Below are 17,534 nucleotides of genomic sequence, written 5' to 3'. Positions count from 1 at the left end.
CAAAACCAAGTTGTAGTCAGCAGAACCATGTTCTGCCAAACGCTCTAGGGAGGAATCCTTCCTTGCTACTCTCTAGCTTGTATTGGTAGCTGGTGATCCTTGTCATTCATTGGCTTTTAGGTGCACTGCTCCAATCTCTGACCCCATCGTCACATCACCCTCTTTTCTATGTCACGATGTCCTTCTCCTCTTTTTATATAGACACCAATCACTGGTTTTAAGGCCCACCTGAAATCCATGATGATATCATCTCAATCCTTAACTAACGACATCTGCAGAGACCTTATTTCCAAAAAAAGGTCATATTCTGAGGCTCTAACTGGACATGAATTTTGGGGGGACACTGTTCAACCCATTATAGGCAAAAGTAAAGGTAAATGAAGATTATTTTTACTGGTTTTAATTGAAACAATAAAGAGAGGCAAATTAGTAAAATTGTGATGATCTTAAAGATGTAAAACATGAGAAAGTAAGTACTTAGGAAAATAAATACAAATATGCTCCCAGCAAGGGCTTACATACTGTTTATTTATTATTTTATTTTATTTTATTTTATTTTTTTTGAGACAGAGTTTCGCTCTTGTTGCCCAGGCTGAAATGCAATGGTGCGATCTCGGCTCACTGCAACCTCCACCTCTCGGGTTTAAGTAATTCTCCTGCCTCAGCCTCCTGAGTAGCTGGGATTACAGGCAACCCCCACCCCAAGCCTAGCTAGTTTTTGTAGTTTTAGTAGAGATGGGGCTTTACCATGTTGGTCAGGCTGGTCTCAAACTCTTGACCTCAGGTGATCCACCCGCCTCGGCTTCCCAAAGTGCTGGGATAACAGGGTGAGCCACTGCACCTGGCCTATACTATTTATTAATGGAGTTGAAACAGAACTAAAAAAGTGGCTACACCAATAAGCTGACTTACAAACTGGCTGACACATTTGACCGCTAACGATCAAATGATTTTGTTTGGATAACTGCATTAGCATTGTACAGTTCAAATTGTACCTGTGTGTGACAGAAAGAAAAGTTGTATGGAGACTGAGTGTTATTAGTGGCATTCTAGCATTACCACACATTGGTGGTGCAATGTAGGCTATTTACTCCTTTTGGGAATTTGTTTCTTTATTTACAAAACCGAATTCATAATGATGTCTTCGGAATTATCAGAGTATGTGTGGGGGCAAAGGGCAGAAAAGGGGACACAATAAATATTAATTTACTTATCCTCTTTTCATTCACTTCTTCAAGTACTAGTCTCTTTCTTCCAACAGAAATGCATTCATACTTTTGAAGGGCACACAAATGTCTGCTTTTATTTCATACAATGATAATATTGAGTGTTTTTCAGGCATCATCATAATAATGATTTATCCAGAATAGTTGCGTAGAAATTATGCTAATAGATTTTCTAAGACAGAAAAAAAATGTCCAATACCTACTTGTTTTCCATGTCACCAAACACCCAGCTTACTGAACAGCTCATTTATTTGACAAATATTTATTGAACAGCTAAAACTCTTAGCACAGTACTTGGCATATATTCATGTATTTATTTTTCCTTCTACAAACATGGATCGTATGATTACTACGTGCCAATACTGTTCTGGACCTGGGCCTTGCTCTTGTGGAGCCACACTTAGTCAAGGAAACAGTTAATAAAATAATCATGCAAATGTAGCACTCTGGGCATGACAAGGAATAGCACAAGAGAATTAATTGTGTTCTAGGAGTCATATTGACCTACCCAGAAATAGCAGACTAAGTTTCCTTAAGAAAGTAAAAATTGACAATAAACTTGAAAGACAAAAAGAATTAACCAGGATAAGAGGGTGAAGGAATCCTGCTATGGGTGGAACAGAATGCATAGGCAAAAGAGAACTTATGGCACATGAGAAGGACTTTTAAAAGTATAACTAGAGAGGGAAAAACAATGGGAGTGTGGTATAACATGAGGCTCAAGAGGTAGAGAAGAGCCTCATGCGTGGAGTCATGCAGGTGAGTTTTATTTATTTATTTAATGAGTTTTATTTATTATTTAATTATTATAATTAATTTATTTATTATTTAATGAGTTTTATTTATTTTTTATTGTATTTTATTTTATTTGAGATGGAGTCTTGCACTGTTCCCTGGGCTAGAGTGCAGTGGCACGATCTCGGCTCACTGCAACCTCTGCCACCCAGCTTCAAGCGATTCTCCTGCCTGAGCCTCCCAAGTAGCTGGGATTACAGGTACCTGCCACCACGCCCAGCTAATTTTTTATATTTTTAGTAGAGACAGGGTTTCACTATGTTGGCCAGGCTGGTCTCAAACTTTTATTTTTAACCTAAGAACAATAGGATGGCACTAAAGCTTCTTAAGCGACAAGATAAAATGCTCAGATTTGGCAGTGGAGAGTTCATTCTTGTTGCAATTGAGTTGGAGCAGGGCAAAAATAAACTTAAGTAAACCAATTTGAGGGGCCGCTGGAGTAGGTCAAGTGAGTAGTTTGGACCAGAAAACATGTTGAGGGTGAAATCCATAGGACTGGATATGAGCAGTATTGACTGAAAAAGGGACATGGGAAGGGGACCAGTTTTTTGTAAGGAAGAGTTGGGCCATGTTAAATATGTACATAGGCAGCTGGGAAAAGGAATCTGGGGTTCAGAAGAAAGGTCTAGATTGGAGTTACTAACATGGGGGTTATTAATGTGATTAAGATCATTTCCAGCAACTATATATAAAAAGAAGAGAGATCTAAGGATTAAAATATATGCCAATATTAGATACATAATAAATAATGGCAACTAATTTTTTTAACTGTCATTTGCCAAATATATGATTTAAAATCCTAAGATGATTTTACCTTATGAATTATCAAAACCTGAATCGTTTTTTAAAGTAAATCAATACATGGAGTAAAAGTTCTCTTCCTCTATTTTTGACCTTTTCTAATTGGACTAGGTCTTGAATTAGGTTGCTGCAAATCAATTTATTCTACACATACTTGATAGTACAAGGATGAGTAAGACAGGCTCCAACCAGTTCCCAGGGGCTGTAGCTAGAGATTCTACAAGTAAAAGTGTAACCACAGAGTAGAGGAAGCACTAGACTGCATGTGTTAAGGAACCTATAGTTATATATAGTAGGGATGATATTGTGTGATATTTTAATGGAATTTGGCAGAAGGAATCAGGGAAGACTTGTAGAGGAAGTAATATTTAAGCAGAGTCTTGAAGACTGAATAGAAGGAAGCCAAGCATAGCGCAGAAAGGAAGGATTCCAAGAGCATAGAAGAGTGCATTCAAAGGCCCAGAGTCAAGACCATGATGCTTTCTCGGAAATAAAAGCACTTTGATATGACTGGAGTGAGTGAAATGCTTCATTTCAAAAAGTGGATGAATTTTAAATCATAAATGTTCAAATAAAACCTTCTATTGCCCCTTTTAAATAGTTGGCAAGGAGTTAGAAAGGAGGCATCAAATGCAAATAAAAACACCTTTATAATGCTTCAATACTCCTGAAAGGTTTGCACCATTGACATAGGGAAAAACATTTCTCTGAAGGAAATTGCTTTGAATCTTCATGTAGGATATAATAGCACATTATATATAAGTTGGCATATCAAAATTTTCCTCCACTCCTTTGACAATTTCCTTTTTTTCTTTTGAGCTGCAACTCTGTTAAAATTTGTTGATTACCACTTTTAAATAAAGAACTCCCTCCTCAGCATGAAGCTTTAAAGTCTTTCTGGTGATGAGTACCAGCACATGATATGACATTTGAATGTTAATATTAACCATGCTTCATGTGTAAAGTCCTGCACTCATTCTAATTCAACAGCATGGTCCAGGGAAAAATACCAGCCCATTATCTGATAAAAATAGTGATTGGTGAGGAAAACTTAGTCTGGAAGATATCCAATGATCTGAAGTGCAAATAGTACTTGAAAACAGTTGTGCTTACATTAATTCTTTCTTATATATTGATCAGGTATATTTGAAGTGAGATTTCCCAATATATTACTTTTTTTTTTCTTCCAAGCAAGGATTAGAAATTTTTCTGTCAGCTGTAAACTTCTCCAGCCTAAGGTTTTTAGCATTGGTAATTAAATAACTCTGTTATGTGTGAGAAGCATTAAGATAAATACTCTTAAAGGAAAGAAACAGTTGGGAAAAACATATATACGCGTGTGTGTGTGTGTGTGTGTGTCTGTGTGTGTGTGTGTGTGTGTGTGTGTAGGCTAGTTCCATTGCTGATTTTCCCTTTCCTTAAAATTAAATGAATTCTTCATTTGCTATTATAAACTAAATATTTCCTTTGAGTCCAATTAGCATTGCTGAAAGAAAAAGCAAATCAAGGCTCTGTTCAGCATGCATCAATGTAATGGAAAATCAGGTCTTTTATTCTAGCTTTAATAACTGCAGCTTGATTAGAGGCAAAGAAAAGCCTATGAAGGGAGAAGGGGGAAAATGAGAAGGACTGCCAAATTAGTTCTATAAGAATTCTCAACCTGTCTGCTCTCTGGCTCACTATTCAAATGCTAATTGAGCCTTTTGGTAAACAGAATGGGTAATCATGGAAGACAAAAACAGACACAGAAAACAAATGACATATCATACCTTATCCAAAGCAGCATGGCATTTTTCTGATAAGCTTTGGAAGACTTAAAATTTTAAGTCCTAGGGTCTTATTTTTTTTTCTGGAAAGATTATAATTAATATAATAAAATAAATATTACATAATCAAATAAAAAATGACAAAGAACCACTTTGTTTCAACAATGAAACCAGTCATGTTATAATTAGATAAGAGGATTTATATTCATAGCTATAAACATGAAAGTAGACCATGAGTCTGGATAAAGGCAAGTTTTTAATTCTTAAAAATTAATTACATGGCATTATTCTTATCAGTACACAGAATGCATTAATTATACAATTAATAAAAAGATGAAAGTTTTTTTTTTTTTTTTGGGCGATTGTAATGCACAGGGGGACATTTGGTTTTATACCCAAAATTGTCCTTCAGGCATTTCTATAATCTTCTTACTAGGCAAGGTCAAGACCCTAAACCAGTTAGTAGGAATATTGAATGGAGTGGGTCTTTATGTTAGCGCTTAGACACATTTCGGAAAGGTTGTGGATTTCCATGTAATTGGGATCTAAGGTGTAATAGGTTTAATTTGAGGTCCTCTTTAAAAGAATAGTAGGAAAAGGCATTGTCAGCAATGTTTAATAGCCAGGAAGAAGTGGCAGCTCACTCATTCACAATGGGCTTCCATAAGGATGAAAAAGTGATTATCTTACTACAACAGTTATTTCTCTGAGTGCTTCCATCATCGGCAAAGCACAGAAAATGCCTTGTGTGTGCTACCACTTTATCCTTGAAAACATTTTAAAGCTATAAATAACATTTACGAAGAAGAAATGTAGTAGTGAAAAGACAGCTGGCTATCAGGAGCAGAGCCACAGGCCAAATCCATTTTAGCAAACTCCAAGGGACTGTCCAAATTCTCTTGCTGTCTTTCAATTGTGTTTTATCAACTATTACTTGGAGTAAATGGGCTATCAGCCAAGGCTAGGAAATCTGTTTTTGTTATATACAAATTGTTGATGTAATATACAGCAGGACAGCACGGTCAGACTGCAATGGTATTTGACTTGCCTGACCTGCTGGCGATATTGCATGTGGGAACAAACATGCTACTAGTTTTCATGTGAAAAGATAGCACTCAGCTACTTTACGACCTCTAAATAATGCAAAATACTCTTGAAATTAAAAAGACCCAGATGTTGAGCATTTTAGAACAAAACTGGAGCAATATCTGGACTACCATAACAATAACAACCTTGCTGTTTGGGATAGGAAATAGAAACTATAGAATCACCACCAGTGTTGGTGTTTAGGTGGGGACTAAGTGGGCGGCTATATCTCCCCCATTATGTCCACCTACCTCTGTTCTTTGATTTGGATAATTAGTATAAAGTGATATGAAAATGCATCTTCCTACCCATTCAAATCGTATTACTAAGAACGCCATATGCTATAGAAAATCTGAGATTAAACATGCATTTCCATTTTGTCATGCTATTCTCTGTCTCTTGTCTTCCTCTCCCTCTCCATGACACACACACACACACACACACACACACACACACACACACACACACCATCCTCTACAAATATTCTTTGCCTTTTCTATAGCCTGTCATTGTGTTGTTTTCTGTCCCTGGGCATATCAACATTCCAAGGTTAATGATGAGGCACCTTGAAAATGTGGTGTTTGTTTAGCTTAAGGTAATGTTTTAAATGTCTTTCTGTGTGTGGCAATCTCATTGCTTCTAAAACAAAGCCCACCTGCAATCTGAACCTGCATTCTATATTAACACCTCAGACACATTTCTGTGTTTTTTTGTCATCCTGTCCTGGTTGAAAAATTATATGTGAGACTGGAGGTGGCAAACACTAGAATCAGTTTGATAGGTTCAAGCTTTGAAAATCACATCTCTCCAAGCCTTATTATCAAACTGATGTGCTGTGGCATCTTGTCCTTCCTAAGTTTCCTGAATTCCTGGAAAATAGAGGAAAGGAACTGGGTATTTAGCCTCAGTTCATTTACGATTCCCTTGGAATTATAAATCTGAATTTTAGCCTTATTCATCTATGAGGAACTTTGTAATTCTTATAAGAATAGGTAGCAAATTTTTCCCTAAATATTAAGCCACTTCTACTTAATAGGGATGTATGTGCTCATAATACCTAACAGTTATTTTCCCCTTATTGGACTCACAGTTAATCTAAAAGGGGATTCGAGTTGTCATTACAGCACATGGTAGATTTGTGCTTCCCTACTCTGTTGGTGGCTGAATGGACTGTGGTTTACTTTGGCCAGTGACATGGGACCAAAGAGTTATGTTTCTGCATGGTATAGCAAGCAGAACTGCCAAAGAATTTAACTTTTTTTTTTTTTTTTAAGACGTAGTCTCGCTCTGTTACTAGGCTGGAGTGCAATGGCACAATCTTGGCTCACTGCAACCTCTGACTCCCAAGTTCAGGGATTCTCCTGCCTCAGCCTCCCGAGTAGCTGGGACTATAGGCATGCGCCACCATGCTCAGCTAATTTTTGTATTTTTAGCAGAGACAGGGTTTCAACATATTGGCCAGGATGATCTTGATCTCTTGACCTCATGATCTGCTGACTTCGGCCTCTCAAAGTGCTGGGATTAAAGGCGTGAGCCACCGTGCCCAGCCAAATTTATTTTTAAGAACGAAAGAAACATACACCATCATTTTTATGCATAAACGCTTAATGCTATCTTTTTTTCTTTTGACAGTCCTGAAGACAGCATTTGAAGCTACTGCTATTTGGTAAAGTATATGTCTAAAAGGACTATTAGGAGAGACAGAATCAAGCTTTTTTAGGTTTTCAGTAATAGTGTGTTGAGAAGACAAAGCAATTGTTCTCACAAATATGCTTCCTTAAGATCATTACAGAAATTTGTTTCCTTTCTTTCAAAGAGTATGTTTTGAGAGCTAAAAACCATCCTATCATATTTGGACAAATAGAAGTAGTTACTGCTTAAGGATCAAGTGATTGTTTCTTTTAAAAGTTGTGTATGCTATGTTTGATAATCACAGCTTCTAATTCTCAAAACAAGCTCTCACTCTGGCATATCTTGAATTTGAATCGACACTATGGATACGAATCTGTATATTCAAATATTTTTGTGTAAGTGTGTTTGTAAGATACATAAGCTTATCCCCTTGCTTCAAGGATATTTGAACAGCACAATCCAAATTTGCAAACAATCAAAGTAGAAGGCAATTATTCAGGAAATTATTAAGAATATGTATGATCGCCATAACACTGGGTGTATCCCGTGGGTATAAACAATTGAAGAAAAACTCTAATACTGTTTTATAAATATATACACATTATGTGGGTAGCTCAAGGGCAAAATACGTTGAAGATTGATTTCCCAGATTCATTCTGTGTATGGGAGAAGTGCCCTTCCCAGTAACTCAGAACAAATTGAGGGAGCATTTCATCATGAGAAGATAGGCTGGTATGGGAGAAGTTTAATAAAAAGTATTTCATCCAGATTGCTGACCCAATCCAGATAGAGGTGAGTAACTTTGATTCTTTCCTATTCAAACTGTGGAAAATTTTAGATTTATATAAGGTCCAGTAAGACTTCCTCCATTTTGTGAATAAAGTGTGCATGAATGTTGTTTGGTGAATTCATTATATCCGCCTATATATTACCCAGAAAAATATTTCCATTTATAATTTTTCTGCCAGCATGTGATGACAGGCTTTATGTGCCAAGGAGATTGAAAAGGACTTATGAAAATATTCAGGACGGCACAGAGGGTTTTTAGGGCAGTGAAATACTCTGTATAATATTATAATGACTTGTATATGTCATAATACATTTGTCCAAACCCAAAGAATGTGCAACACCAAGAGGGAACCCTTATTTAAGCTACGGACTTTGGGTGATAAGGATGTGTCAATGTAGGTTCATCAGTTGTAACAAATGTATCAATCTGGTGTTGAATGTTGATAGTGAAGGAGGCTATGCATATGTGGAACAGGGGGTAGATGGGAAATCTTCCATATCCTTCTCTTGGTTTGGCTGTGAAGCTTAAACTGCTCTAAAAAATAAAGTCTTTATATATATACATGAAGGATAGATAAAGCCTCTCGTATTCTGCTGCCTTCCTCCCTTTCTGAACTTACCTGCGACTGTTCTGCGGCATGGAACTTACCCTTCCTGTAATCCAGACATTTTGCAACATTCTGAACACGCCACTTAATTTTGCACATATAGTTCCTTCTACTGGAAATGTCCTTCCTTCTTCTCTATGCACAACTATTTGCTATTTCATCCTGTGAAGTCTAAGAGCTCCATTAATCACTGTCTTTTCCAGGACCAATTTTGGTAATCTCTCGTGTGGGTTAGGAATACTCCTCTCTAATTTCATGGCATACTGGAATTTTCTGCTGCTATCATATTATTTTGTAAGCATTAGTTTACATATTTTCAGGCATTTAGAAACAATAATCTTGGTTTTGAAAAAAATCTCTTTATTCATGATATCTGCATATACAGAAACTCAATAATTTCTGGAATGAATGAATGGGTGAATGAAAGCTGATACATTGGAAAGGTTCTTTGGCAATGCATTAGCTACGGTAAGACACTGGAAAAAACAATGAGGTAGAGGCGTGCCCATATCATGCAAAGCCAAAAGTCAATATGATGAATACATACACTGCAAGCTCCTAAGAGATTTAGTTGAAATTATTTATTAAATAAATGCTTCCATGTCCTATTACTCTTTCAATTGAGCATTTTGAGAGATAAAAAGAAAACTGAAAACTACAGAGACTAACTTAGCAAAACTCCACCTATCACCAACCGTAATTCATGATTGGTCTCATTATGTCATATTTGTTGTGTCTTCATTTTTTTTTAAGTGAAAGAATTGTTCAAAATCACTGAACTACATGGAAACGGAACAACCTGCTCCTGAATAACTACTGGGTACATCACGAAATGAAGGCAGAAATAAAGATGTTCTTTGAAACCAACGAGAACAAAGACACAACATACCAGAATCTCGGGGACACATTCAAAGCAGTGTGTAGAGGGAAATTTATAGCACTAAATGCCCACAAGAGAAAGCAGGAAAGATTTAAAATTGACACCCTAACATCACAATTAAAAGAACTAGAGAAGCAAGAGCAAACACATTCAAAAGCTAGCAGAAGGCAAGAAATAACTAAGATCAGAGCAGAACTGAAGGAGATAGAGACACAAAAAACCCTTCAAAAAATCCATGAATCCAGGAGCTGGTTTTTTGAAAAGATCAACAAAATTGACAGACCGCTAGCAAGACTAATAAAGAAGAAAAGAGAGAAGAATCAAATAGACGCAACAAAAAAAGATAAAGGGGATATCACTACTGATCCCACGGAAATACAAACTACCATCAGAGAATACTATAAACACCTCTACGCAAATAAACTAGAAAATCTAGAAGAAATGGATAAATTCCTCGACACATACACCCTCCCAAGGCCAAACCAGGAAGAAGTTGAATCTCTGAATAGACCAATAACAGGCTCCGAAATTGAGGCAATAATTAATAGCTTACCAACCAAAAAAAGTCCAGGACCAGATGGATTCACAGCCGAATTCTACCAGAGGTACAAGGAGGAGCTGGTACCATTCCTTCTGAAACTATTCCAATCAATAGAAAAAGAGGGAATCCTCCCTAACTCATTTTGTGAGGCCAGCATCATCCTGATACCAAAGCCTGGCAGAGACAAAACAAAAAAAGAGAATTTTAGACCAATACCTTTGATGAACATCAATGCAAAAATCCTCAATAAAATACTGGCAAACCGAATCCAGCAGCACATCAAAAAGCTTATCCACCATGATCCAGTGGGCTTCATCCCTGGGATGCAGGGCTGGTTTAACATATGAAAATCAATAAATGTAATCCAGCATATAAACAGAACCAATGACAAAAACCATATGACTATCTCCATAGATGCAGAAAAGGCCTTTGACAAAATTCAACAACCCTTCATGCTAAAAACTCTCAATAAATTAGGTATTGATGTGATGTATCTCAAAATCATAAGAGCTATCTATGACAAACCCACCGCTAATATCATACTGAATGGGCAAAAATGGGAAGCATTCCCTTTGGAAACGGGCACAAGACAGGGATGCCCTCTCTCACCACTCCTGTTCAACAGAGTGTTGGAAGTTCTGGCCAGGGCAATCAGGCAGGAGAAAGAAATAAAGGGTATTCAATTAGGAAAAGAGGAAGTCAAATTGTCCCTGTTTGCAGATGACATGATTGTATATCTAGAAAACCCCATTGTCTCAGCCCAAAATCTCCTTAAGCTGATTAGCAACTTCAGCAAAGTCTCAGGATACAAAATCAATGTGCAAAAATCACAAGCATTCTTATATACCAATAACAGACAAACAGAGAGCCAAATCATGAGTGAACTCCCATTCACAATTGCTTCAAAGAGAATAAAATACCTAGGAATCCAACTTACAAGGATGTGAAGGACCTCTTCAAGGAGAACTACAAACCACTGCTCAACGAAATAAAAGAGGATACAAACAAATGGAAGAACATTCCAGGCTCATGGGTAGGAAGAATCAATATCGTGAAAATGGCCATACTGCCCAAGGTCATTTATAGATTCAATGCCATCCCCATCAACCTACCAATGACTTTCTTCACAGAATTGGAAAAAACTACTTTAAAGTTCATATGGAACCAAAAAAGAGCCCGCATTGCCAAGTCAATCCTAAGCCAAAAGAACAAAGCTGGAGGCATCACGCTACCTGACTTCAAACTATACTACAAGGCTACAGTAACCAAAACAGCATGGTACTGGTACCAAAACAGAGATATAGACAAATAGAACAGAACAGAGCCCTCAGAAATAATGCTGCATATCTACAACCCTCTGATCTTTAACAAACCTGACAAAAACAAGCAATGGGGAAAGGATTCCCTATTTAATAAATGGTGCTGGGAAAACTGGCTAGCCATACGTAGAAAGCTGAAACTGGATCCCTTCCTTACACCTTATACAAAAACTAATTCAAGATGGATTAAAGACTTAAATATTAGACCTAAAACCATAAAAACCCTAGAAGAAAACCTAGGCAATACCACCATTCAGGACATAGGCATGGGCAAGGACTTCATGTCTAAAACACCAAAAGCAATGGCAACAAAAGACAAAATTGCCAAATGGGATCTAATTCAACTAAAGAGCTTCTGCACAGCAAAAGAAACTACCATCAGAGTGAACAGGCAACCCACAGAACTTTTGCAATCTACTCATCTGACAAAGGGCTAATATCCAGAATCTACACTGAACTCAAACAAATTTACAAGAAAAAAAACAAACAACCCCATCAACAAGTGGGCAAAGGATATGAACAGACACTTCTCAAAAGAAGACATTTATGCAGCCAAAAGACACATGAAAAAATGCTCATCATCACTGGCCATCAGAGAAATGCAAATCAAAACCACAATGAGATACCATCTCACACCAGTTAGAACGACAATCATTAAAAAGTCAGGAAACAACAGGTGCCGGAGAGGATGTGGAGAAACAGGAACACTTTTACACTGTTGGTGGGACTGTAAACTAGTTCAACCATTGTGGAAGTCAGTGTGGCAATTCCTCAGGGATCTAGAACTAGAAATACCATTTGACCCAGCAATCCCATTACTGGGTATATACCCAAAGGATTATAAATCATGCTGCTATAAAGACACATGCACACGTATGTTTATTGTGGCACTATTCACAATAGCAAAGACTTGGAACCAACCCAAATGTCCAACAATGATAGACTGGATTAAGAAAATGTGGCACATATATACCATGGAATACTATGCAGCCATAAAAAATGATGAGTTCATGTCCTTTGTAGGAACATGGATGAAGCTGGAAACCATCATTCTCAGCAAACTATCACAAGGACAAAAAAACAAACACTGGATGTTCTCATTCATAGGTGGGAATTGAACAATGAGAACACATGGACACAGGAAGGGGAACATCACACACCAGGGCTTGTTGTGGGGTTGGGAGTGGGGGAAGGATAGCATTAGGAGACATACCTAATGTTAAATGACGAGTTAATGGATGCAGCACACCAACATGGCATATGTATACATATGTGACTAACCTGCACGTTGTGCACATGTACCCTAAAACTTAAATTAAAAAAAAAAGAATTGTGATAGTCTGATTGTGTCCACCAAATTGTAATCTCCAATGCAATAGTGTTGGGAGCTGGGGACTTTGTGAGATGCTCAGGTCATGAGGGGTCTGGCCTCATTAATGCATTAAGACCATTTAAAAAGGGCTTAACAGAGGGAGTTTGGTCCTGTTTTCGCCTCTTTCATCTCTTCTGCCCTGTGAGGATATAACATTTCTCCCCTCTGGATGATGCCTCAGCAAAGCACCATCATGGAAATGGAGACTTGGGCTCTCACCAGATGTCAAACCTGCCAGGACCTTGATCTTGGACTCCAAGGCTCCAGAACTGTGAGAAATAAATTTCTGTTCTTTATCAGATACCTAGTCTCAGGTATGTTGTCATAGCAGCACGAATGGACTAAGACTAGAATATTAAAACCCTACCTCACTGGCAAAATGCCCCTGCATGCCTTAGGCATGAACATATGAGCTTGCTTCTTTGCCACCTCTGTTCCATCATCAGAGGTTTTCCAATGGTTTTGAAAAGCTAAAGTTCACTTCCCTTGCCCAGCCTTTAACATGGGGCCAGTTACAGAATTTTCGTAGCCTAGTTCAAAATAAAAATCTGGGCCCCCGGCTGGGGGGCATGAAAATCAATCTCCCATTCCAAGGAAGCCATTGCCCCAACCCAAGGATGAGAAGCAACCTTCAAGGTCTTGCAATCTCCATGACAGGACCCACTTGGTACCCAGTTCAGGTGTGAGTGAGAGGCCCCCTACTAAGCACACTGTGGTACTCCTGGCTCAGTGTAGAGCTGGTTGCCACATTATTTATGGCACCAATAGAGAAAGGGAGGAGGGCAATTAATATACTTATCTGCCAGGGCAGGCAGGCTTCACAGCCATGGCACCAAAGCAGTAGCACAGGGCCCTCTATTCATAAAGGCCCAATATTTGGGGTTCCATGCTCTGTGGTGGCTGCCTTGAGATTCTTAACACTTTTATCTTTGAAACTATTTCATAGAAATTCAATGGGAGGATGGGACTTGTGCCCAGAGGCTTGAAGCTTCAGCTCATGTGCGTGTGAATCTCTGGGTTATGCTCTTGGTAATCCATGTCTTCCCCCTAGAACTCTGGCGTTGCCTGACATCCCCACTCACATGCCCAGGCAGCCCACAATGATCTTAGCCCTCTGTCCAGGTGGGCAACTCAGTCACATTGGCATGGAAGGGTCCATGTTCTAGCAGGGGCCTCTTCCATGAGCAGGGGTTTGGGCGTGAGCCGGTGGAAGGCTAGGATCTTTTTTTAATGACCAAATCTTTGTCATCCTTAATAAACAAAAACAAACAACAAAAGCTCATACTTCTTGTAAGCCTCTGTCTTGTCAGACTGCTGTCTTTGCTTCCTTACCCTTCGCTGAAAAACTTCCTGAAGCTCCACTGTTTTCTGTTCTCCTATTCTGTATCTCTTACTCACTTTTCAACTCACTGCCAATTGGTTTCTGCTACCATCATTCAACATTAAATATGTACTGTATCTATTATCCAACCCTAACAACCACTTGCTAAGTCTTCGATCAGTGTCTTAAGAGCTTTAATATTGTCTTATTTTTCACAATAATCCTTTGAAGTAAGTACTATGTTATACCTTTTTTTCTTTTTGAATTGGAGTCTCTTATAGATGCTAAACACAAGACACAGAAAGATTAAATCATTTGCCTCAGGCCACACAGTTAGCGAGTAGTGGTGCCAGCATTTTAATTCAAGAAATCTAGCTCTAGAGGCCCTGCTCTCACTGCTATGACCTATGGCCTCTCAAACAGTTTAACTATGGCCTTCTGACAAATCCAGGGGTTTGTTTGTTTGTTTGTTTGTTTATTTATTTACTTATTTACATCTTCTTACTATCTAAATGATTTTTTAAACAATGCTGAGCACCTCTTCCTTTTTGAAGCATTGCTCTCTACCTTCAAGGGCAGTGTTTCTTCCTGATTTACCTTTTATACCTCCAGTTGTCTCATAATAGCCTTTTACTTCACGTCCATCGCCTATTGATTTGCCCCTTACACATTAATGTACCTAAATGAGTCTTTTCCCAGTCCTGTATTCTTTCTGCTCTACAAAATCTGCCTGAATGATCTCTTGGACAGTGTCCACTCTCTTATCTGAGGTCCCCTAACAGGCTTTTTGAATTAAAGAGTCATATCTATCTTTTCTGTGAAAACCAGTGACTCATGCCCAAAGTCTTTGGCTGCTTGTGACCATTTGGCTACAATCTGTGACCTGTCTCTCAACCATCACTTTTCCTTTCACCTAGGAGAATTGTTGTCTCATCCCATCAGTCAAGTTTATTTCCAAGCATGAGTGTTGAAGTCTGTTGGCCTTCTAATGAGCAATATCTTGTAACTGCTGATTCAACCAGCATTTAAACTTGTTATCCTGGACTTCATTTCGTGAGAAATTATAAATTTCCTTATGTTTTTCTGTTAGTTTTCTTTTGTGTGTGTGTGTGTGTTATATTGGTTCAGAGTTTCTTATTTATCTGTGTCCTTTATGGTTTGGCCATGAACTTCTAAACCAGGAAATAAGATGTTGAAAATCTTTGTATCTAGTTCAGAGTCTGTCATATAGGTGTTTGATAAACATTTAATGACTGATATGTTTTGGCTCTGTGTCTCCACTCATATCTCATCTCAAATCGTAATCCTCATGTGTAGAGTGAAGGACCTGTAATGCCTGGTGTGTAGAGGAAAGGAGGTGATTGAATCTTGGCAGCAGTTTCCCGCATGCTTCTCCTGACAGTGAGTGAATTCTCATGAGATCTAACGGTTTTATAAGGGACTCTTTCCCCTTTGCTTCTCTCTCAATCTCTCTCTCTCTCTCCTACCCCTACACTGCCATGTAAGATGCTCCCGCTTCCCCTTCCACTATGATTGTAAGTTTCCTGAGGCTTCCCCAGCCATACAGAGCTGTGAATGAATGAAATCTCTTCCTTTATAAATTACCCAGTCTCGGGTAGTTCTTTATAGCAGCATGAGAGTGGACTAATAAAATGACTAAATGAAGAAATTAGAACTTGAGCTTTCTTAGATGTCTAAAAGATAATTTCAGTGTACAATTTTTAGAATCAATCTTATACAGTTAGCTAAGCTCATCATGTTAATATTATTAGACCTTAAAAATATATCTTTAAAAGAGAAAAGCAGAAACCACAGTAAGAGAATTTTTTTGTTTATTTTTTAGTTTCATGAATTGTAACCTAAAGACCTAGCACAAGATTTGAGATCAGAAGAAAGTGGTGAACCCTTAGGGCAGGTCAGTTATTACTAAAAAATGAATCTTTATTTACCAAGAGGGAAAACTAGCAAATCAAAGGGGAAATGATTTTGATTTTTTGGAAGAATTTCAGTAGCTCTTAGTATTGGTATATGAACAACTTAGATAACATGCGGTGGGACCAGACTGCAGATTTGGCCTTAGACAAAATTGTAAATAGACAAAGTTCATCCATACAGTCTCTCTTTTGGTTTTTCTTTCTTTTTATATCTCCTTGAACAAGTTTCCAGCCATTATGTTGACTTTTAATTACCCAGTTTCTACTGCTTTCTTAGCTCACCTGTGTCTTCCCTGGGTCTTTCCAGCACCTTGTCTAGACATGGTTTCTTCTTTCCTCTCCAGAAGATTCTGTGCTGACACAAAGAGATAGTAACTTTAGAGTTTAAAAAATTAAACTGTAAATATTCTACCTATTAGTTTTGCCATCCTTCTAAACCAGTTTTCTCACTTGTAAAATCATACTAGCTACCTTATAGGATTATTGGGAAAGTTAGGAAGCTAAGGTAGCAGAGAGCACAGAGTAAGCACTCAAATGTCAGCTATTGTTGTATGCCTGGGTACATGACCTTGGAACCATTGCTCATCTGTTAAATGGGGACAACATTCACTACCTAAAAGATTGCCCTGATGTTAAATAAAATAATGTATGTTATGTGTCTAGCACAGAGTCTGATATATAATTTGGATAATAAATTCTTATTTGAAATTATAATTGATTGTCTAAAGTGTTATCTACTAAAGGTTTCATGTCTCCTAATACATAAGGCAAGTTAACTAAGTTTCACATACATTTCTGAAATCATGGTAGAACAAAAGGCAGAAACTAGCATACATTTAATATTAGTGTGACTGGTTTTAAGCTAAAGAAACCAGCATGGTTTATAAGAGGAAAGATGAGAAGACTGAAGGCTGGGGAACTCCAACCTGTAGAAGTTGGGGGAATCAGGAGTGAGCAGCCCAGGAGATGAAGAAGGTAATGCCAGTGAGGTCTGGGAGCATGTGATGCCTTGGAAGTTAGGTGAAGGAGGAGTTTCAAGGAGGAGAGAGTGATCAGCTGCATCACGTTGTGCTGCTTGGTCAAAACGTGAAAGGCACTAATTTACTATCTAATACTTGAAAGTTTCCCTTGATCGGTGTTCATAATTTTGCATCTGTGTAAAATGATGACACCCATGTCCTCCTTTTTGGAGTGTGGCACACTATTTACCAATACAGGTCATACAAGGCCAGGTTTTCGGAAGCCTTCTATTTGCCCACATACTCACTTGTCTTTTCCCCTTAGGCCTAATTTCTGACGTTTCCCTCCCGATAAGATAGCATCAAATTGTTCTCTTTGAGCCAACTACAGTTTCTGGAGAAAGCAGGTTTTAAACCTGTCCTTAATCCGATCATTCGTGGCAAGTGAAAGTTTTACACAAAAAATTGCCCGTTTGGATAAACACGAAAAAGCAGCCTATCTTAT

The 17,534-nt window shown here is 38.1% G+C and overlaps 2 long non-coding RNA genes across 2 annotated transcripts in view; both read right to left on the bottom strand.

The window, feature by feature from the left end:
• Positions 1-17,534, bottom strand: part of LINC03000 (long intergenic non-protein coding RNA 3000) — a 765,030-nt gene that overhangs the window by 558,641 nt on the left and 188,855 nt on the right. The gene's annotated exons all lie outside the window — the stretch shown is intronic.
• Positions 1-17,534, bottom strand: part of LOC102546299 (uncharacterized) — a 72,706-nt gene that overhangs the window by 39,891 nt on the left and 15,281 nt on the right. The window contains exon 2 of the long non-coding RNA NR_105065.1: positions 16,353-16,420. This is a non-coding gene — a long non-coding RNA (uncharacterized LOC102546299). The remainder of the gene's footprint in view (positions 1-16,352; positions 16,421-17,534) is intronic.

This window comes from Homo sapiens, chromosome 5, assembly GCF_000001405.40.
Source record: "Homo sapiens chromosome 5, GRCh38.p14 Primary Assembly".
Lineage (NCBI taxonomy): Eukaryota > Metazoa > Chordata > Mammalia > Primates > Hominidae > Homo > Homo sapiens.
The sequence above is the reverse complement of the archived record's forward strand: the minus strand, read 5'-3'. Positions and strand labels throughout refer to the sequence as shown.